This window comes from Homo sapiens, chromosome 12, assembly GCF_000001405.40.
Source record: "Homo sapiens chromosome 12, GRCh38.p14 Primary Assembly".
Classification (NCBI taxonomy): domain Eukaryota; kingdom Metazoa; phylum Chordata; class Mammalia; order Primates; family Hominidae; genus Homo; species Homo sapiens.
The window spans coordinates 118523590-118530338 of NC_000012.12; positions in this window are offsets into that span (position 1 = coordinate 118523590).

Sequence of the window (6749 nt, forward strand, 5' to 3'; positions counted from 1 at the left end):
GACAAAAAATGTGGACTGCCTCCAGAAGCTGGAAAAGACAAGAAAATGGATTTTTCTTTAGCACCTCCAGAAGGAACGGAGCTCTGCTGATACCTTGATTTTGTCCTGTAAGACTCATTTTGGACTTCTGACCTCTAGAACTGTAAGATCATAAATTTGAGTACTTAAAATTTTTAATTATATTATTATTATTTCTAGAGACAGGGTGTTGCTCTGTTGCCCAGGCTGGAGGGCAGGGGTGAGATCACAGCTCACTGCAGCCTTGAACTTCTGGGGTCAAGAAATCCGCCCACCTCAGCCCCCAGCGTAGCTGAGACTACAGGGGTGCACCACCATGCCTGGTTAAATTTGAGTTTTTAAAAGGCACCAAGTTGTGGGACTTTGTTACAACAGCAATGGGAAACTCATATGCCCTTGAGACAAGAATCTACCCTATACCACAAGTCACTTGTGTCCCTACTAATGACCAGATCACCAATTGTTGTTACTCCTCATTGAGGGCCGCCATGTCCAGCCACTATGCTTAGCATTTTACTTCTCTGATTTCACTGGACTTTCTAAACAGCCCTGTGAGTAGAGCCTGTCCTGCCCATTTAGTAAAAAGGAGGGGACCGGGGCTCTGAGAGGATGTATCACCGGCTCAAGCTCACACAGGTAGAAAGCATGTGTGTGTGGGTGCAGGACTTGAAGCAAATCCAAGTGTATATGGCTCTAAAACCATCATTTAGCTCTTCTGCCTTCAGAAGACATCATTTCCAGAGGTTGCAAGACCCTGAGCTTGCAAACACTGCTTCCTGCAAAGTCAGACTCTGAACCCATCCTGGCTGGTGTAGGACATTGGTGTGTGTGGAAGGAGGGTGCAGTTTTGCACCATGTTTAATTTCATCTGAGCTTCCTCAGGAAGCTCAATTTTCTTCCCTAAAAATGAAGAGGAACAAACCTCCCCACTGCTCTTGAAATTTCTTCAGGAATAATTACTGAATCCTTGTCTGTTCAACATGCAGCATTCTCTATATGAAAGGAGGAGACAGGGAGAACAGAATGACTGCGCCTAGCTGGAGCACAAAACCAGGCTTATTAGGCAATAGAGCAGACGGATCTGGCTTTTATGAGCATGGGGTCTTGCTGTGTGAATATTCATGGAGTTTGGAAGATCAGTGATTGAGCAAACAGATATAATTAAAACATACTAAAAACAAAAGTCACTATGCCCTTTTCAAATGTGCTTCGGTTGTTTCTTTTGGTAAGCGGGATTTAATATAATTCTTAACATTCGTTGATTGTTTCTAATTACCAAATCATAGATACTCATTTTGGAAATGCTGGAAAATACAGAAAAGGATCAAGGACAATCACCTTAAATCCTGCCAACCAGACCAATCATGGTCAACATTTTTGCCCTACGGAAGGAAACTTCATGATCACTCAGGCGGACTCCTTTCCTGCTGGGGCAAACAGGCCCAGGTTAAGGAGATGTTTGGTGTCAGATCTCAGAGTTGAAAGCAGGAATCTCTGGTCTTTAATTTGCCACATCTCTTCCTTTCTTCTTGCTGCTCTTCCGGAACCCTTAAAAAAATAATCTCTTGAAGAAATTCCCTTGAGATCAACTTCTGTCTTTTGGGGTTCCAGCAGGTCTCCAGCTATTTTCCATCAGGGAAATTTGAGATTCCAGGTCTGAACCACATTGCTTCTTTCCTTGTCACCTTTCTCTTTCCCCTTCTTTTTTTCTCTTCCTCTTCCGTCCCTTCCTTCTAATGGAAGTATACTGTACATAGTGCCTTTTAAATTTAACAATACACTAGGGGCATGTCATTACATGCCAACAAATGTATATTATGACATCATTTATTTTTTTTGAGACAGGGTCTCTTCGTCTGTCACTCTAGACTGGAGTGCAGTGGTGCAATCACAGCTCACTGCAGTTTTGAATTCCTAGGCTCAAGCAACCTCCTACCTCAGCTTTCCAAGTAGCTGGGACTACAGACATACACCACTGCACCTGGTTAATTTTTAAATTTTGTTGTGGTGACATGGTCTTGCTAGGTTGTCCAGTCTGGTCTCAAACTCCTGGCCTCAAGTAGTCTGCCTGCCCTGGCCTCCCAAAGTTTTGGGATTATAGGTGTGAGCCACTGCACCCCAATACATTATTTTTAATGACTGTATGTCCTGGCATGTTACACCAGGATTTATATAACATATATAACCCCCTTTTATAATCCCCTTCAGGTGGACATTTAGGTTGCCTCCAGTCATTCACCATTTATTTTTATTTTTATTTATTTATTTTTTGGAGATAGAGTCTCACTCTGTCACCAGGCTGGAGTACAGTGGCGTGATCTCGGCTCACTGCAACTTCTGCCTCCCTAGTTCAAGTGATTCTCCTGCCTCCACCTGTGGAGTAGCTGGGACTACAGGCTTGCGCCACCATGCCCTGCTCGTTTTTTGTATTTTTGGTAGAGATGGGGTTTCACTATGTTGGCCAGGATAGTCTCGATCTCTTGACCTCATGATCTGCCTGCCTCAGCCTCCCAAAGTGCTGGGATTACAGGTGTGAGCCACTGCACCTGGCCTAACCATTATTTTTTAAAGTGCTTTGATGAACATCCTTGCAGCTAATTAATCATTGAGATACATTTTTAGAAGAGGCCTTGCTAGTCAAAGGGTCTGCCCATTTAGACGGTCTTGATGCTCACCCACAGGCATACTTTCTAAAAGAAGACACAAAGTATTGTAACTGTATTACCCAGTGCCAGAAAAATTTTCAGGGTTCAGACATAGCTGTTGGCTGCTGTTCCCACCATGCTGACCTGCTGTGGCCTTATCCCAAGCAGATGTTGCTACGAAGGTCAGCCTACTGAATCCCATCATTACCCTGCCAGGTCCCTGTGCTGGGCCAAGGGGTGGCTGGAGCCAAATCTTTCTTAACAGACAGGAACCAAAACACAGTTAGTTTCCAACCTTGAACAATTAATCATATACAGAGACACCTAGGTCTGGGGAAAATGGTTTATTTATAGCTGAATACTTCTTTCAGCCCCAGGTACATTTTGCAATTGTGTTTCATCTTCCATTCTCACACCTGGACTCTCTTCTAGACACCATCTGAATCATGAGCAGGAGGTCAAGTGCAACACACTGGATTTCTCCTGGCTTGAGAAGCTCATGGACTAGGTTGGCTTTTGCTTTTGTGGCCTGGACTTTATGGCTGGGAGGAAGGTGAAAAGCCCAAGAGAGGTGAACTGTGAAATGCTTTACCTACCCACACCCAGGCCACTAGAAACTCCTGCCAAGCAGTAAGCCTTTAGCAGCAATGTGCTCAGACTTCAAAATAGCAGAGAGATGCTGATAACACCCGGAAGGAGGACTTCCCCTGGCTTGAGATCACACATGAGACTGGTAGAGTTTCCATAGAAAGCTCTCCCACCCCCTAATTAAACAATCGATTAACTCAACAAGTATCTATTGAACGTTTACAAGCCAGGCGCTGTCTAAGCATTGAGAATGTAGTGGTTGGGCCAGGCGCAGTGGCTCACGGCTGTAATCCCAGCATTTTGGGAGGCCAAGGAGGGTGGATCACTTGAGGTCAGGAGTTGGACACCAGCCTGACCAACATGGTGAAATCCCGTCTCTACTAAAAGTACAAAAATTAGCTGAGCATGGTGCCATGTGCCTGTAGTCCCAGCTAATTGGGAGGCTGAGGCAGAAGAATTGCTTGTACCCAGGAGATGAAGGCTGCGGTGAGCCGAGATAGCGCCACTGCACTCCAGCCTGGATGACAGAGTGAGACTCTGTCTCAAACAAACAAACAAGCAAAAGAATGCAGTGGTGGACTATGTATTCCCCTGGGAAGCAGACTCTGAGGCAGAGACTCACACACAGTGGGTTTATGAGGGACCGCTCTTGGACATCTGTGGATGGGAGGGACTGAATCACAATTGGGCAGAGGGGAATGTTGAGCTGTGATGTCATCTAAGTGGGGGCCTCAGCCAACCCCTCCAGGGAGTTCTGAAACTGAGTCATCCTTTAGGACAGACCATACCAACCAGTCACTCAATGTGGGGGTCCCTGGGATGTAACCTTGGGTGAAACAGCTCTCTTCAGCAGAGGCAATCCCTGTAGGGGGACTGGGGGCTGAGGGCAGCACGCTCAACAGTTGGGGGAATGAGTCCTTTGGTCCAGAAGGAGGACCTGGGTGGTGTGTCACTGAGTCCAACACAGCCCTCATGGAACTCACAGTGTAGTGAGTGTCTTGGTTTGAGTTCACTCCGAAGCAGGGCCTGAGGCAGGGACTTGGATGTAGGTAGTGAATTCAGGAGGTGATCCCAGAGAGGAAGAACGAGAGAATGGGAGAACGAGTCAGGGAAGGACAAAGAGATAATAGAGGGTGCATTGTTGAGCAAGTCCACCCTGTGGGACTGAGAAGAATGCATTCAGAATGATCCCCCTGAAGGACAGGAGGTGAGGTGTGTATCCACTGACTTCTATGCCCCATTGTTTGACGTTATCCCCTGGGGTCTGAGCCCCTTTGCATTTATAGAATGCACCTGTGAAGGATGTTTCTGTAGTTTTGGGGAAGCTTTGAGGCAGAAAACCAGAGAGTTAGGGGACATCTGATGTGGGAAGTTGCCAGCAGACATGGACAAGGTCCCCATAGATGAGGCTGAAATTAGAGGCAGGTCATGTGGCACAGGTCCTCAATTCTTTAGTAAAGATAAAATCTGCTGCAGAACAAATGAGGAAATTAATCTTGTAAGACCTTTAAGTAGGTATCTCCTCCAACCCCATCCCTTGGTAACCCCCCAATTTTTTTTTTAAAGAGATAGAATCTCACTATGTTGCCCAGGCCGGTCTTGAACTCCTAAGCTCAAGTGATCCTCCAATCTTGGCCTCCCAAAGTGCTGGGATTACAGGTGTGAGCCATAGCACCCAGCTGAGTAACGCTTTAATGAAGACGATTACTTTTAAAAATTACATCCTCTCCTCTTAAAACTAACCGATTGACTGACTAAAACCAATAAACTAACCAACAAACTAACTAATGTGTATTATGCTAAGTTTCAGACATTGTTCTCAAACTGACTAACCAACCAATTAACTAATATGTATTATACTGTCAGGCATTGTACTAAAACTAACTGACTAATCAACCAACCAACCAACTAATAACCAATCAACTAACTAATGTGTATTATACTAAGTTCCAGACATTGTTCTCAAACTAACTAACCAACCAATTAACTAATATGTATTATGCTATCAGGCATTTTACTAAAACTAACTAGCTAACTAACCAATCAACTAACTGATAACCAATCAACTAACTAATGTATGTTACACTAAGTTCCAGACAGTGTTCTAAAATGAACTAACTGGCTAGCTAACCAACTAACCACCTTTGATCTCTGTCTCTTCACAGGTTCTTTCTTTGCCTACAATCTCGCTCATCTATACATACCCTGAAAAAGAAGAAAAGGAAGACTCTTTCCTTGAACTTCTCCCCTTTTTGGCTACCTTATTCCTATTCTTCTTTTCCTTTTTTTTTTGAGACAGAGTCTTACTTTGTCACCCAGGCTGGAGTGCAGTGGTGCGATCTCAGCTCACTGCAACCTCTGCCTCCTAGGTTCAAGTGATTCTCCTGCCTCAGCCTCCTGAGTAGTTGGGATTATAGGCACGTGCCACCATGTCCAGATAATTATTATTTTATTTTTATTTTTTGAGACAGAGTCTCACTTTGCTGCCCAGGCTGGAGTGCAGTGGTGCCATCTCGGCTCACTGCAACCTCCGCCTCCCGAGTTCAAGCGATTCTCCTGCCACAGCCTCCCGAGCAGCTGTGACTACAGGCATGTGCCACCATGCCCGGCTAATTTTTTGTATTTTTAGTAGAGATGGGGTTTCACCGTGTTAGCTAGGGTGGTCTTGATCTCCTGACCTTGTGATCCAGCCGTGTCGGCCTCCCAAAGTGCTGGGATTACAGGCCTGAGCCACTATGCCCGGCCTAATTTTTTTATTTTTATTTTTAGTAAAGACAGGGTTTCGCCATGTTGGTCAGGCTGGTCTCAAACTCCTGACTTCAGATGAGCCACCCGCCTCGGCCTCCCAAGGTGCTGGGATTACAGTCATGAGCTACCATGCCCGGCCCTTCTTTTTCTTCTTCAACAAATATTTGCAGCCTCGATCTCACTGCCCAGGCAACCTTAATCCAGACAAGTTTGCTTCCCTACCCTTCCCATGCCCATGTTCTGTTGAATCTGAATTTTCAAAGGCCATTGACAATCTGGCACGCACGATTCTCCATTCTTCTCATCGTCATTTCTCAGTTTTCTTCACCTCTGCAGTGTGTTTCTTCTTCTCTTTTTCAAAATTCTTCCTTTCCCTAGTTTTCGTGACACTGTCCTTCTCCCTCTATAACCTTTCTTTATTATTTTTTCCAAACTTCATCTTTCTTCCAAGAGCAAGTGCTCTTCAAGGTCTAATGCTTATAACTCTCTTCTTGCTGGGTACAGTGGTGGTTCTCAAGCTTGGCTGTACCTGAGGGTCACTTGGAGTATTCAAAAACTACTGAAGCTCACGGAGAATTTTGAGGACAGGGAAACTATTCTGTTATGACACTATAATGGTAGATACAGGTTATTATACCCTTGTTGAAGTTATAGAAGGTACAACATAACCAGGAGACTTTGGGTGATAACGATGTGTCAGCCGGGCGCGGTGGCTCATGCCTGTAATCCCAGCACGGTGGGAGGCTGAGG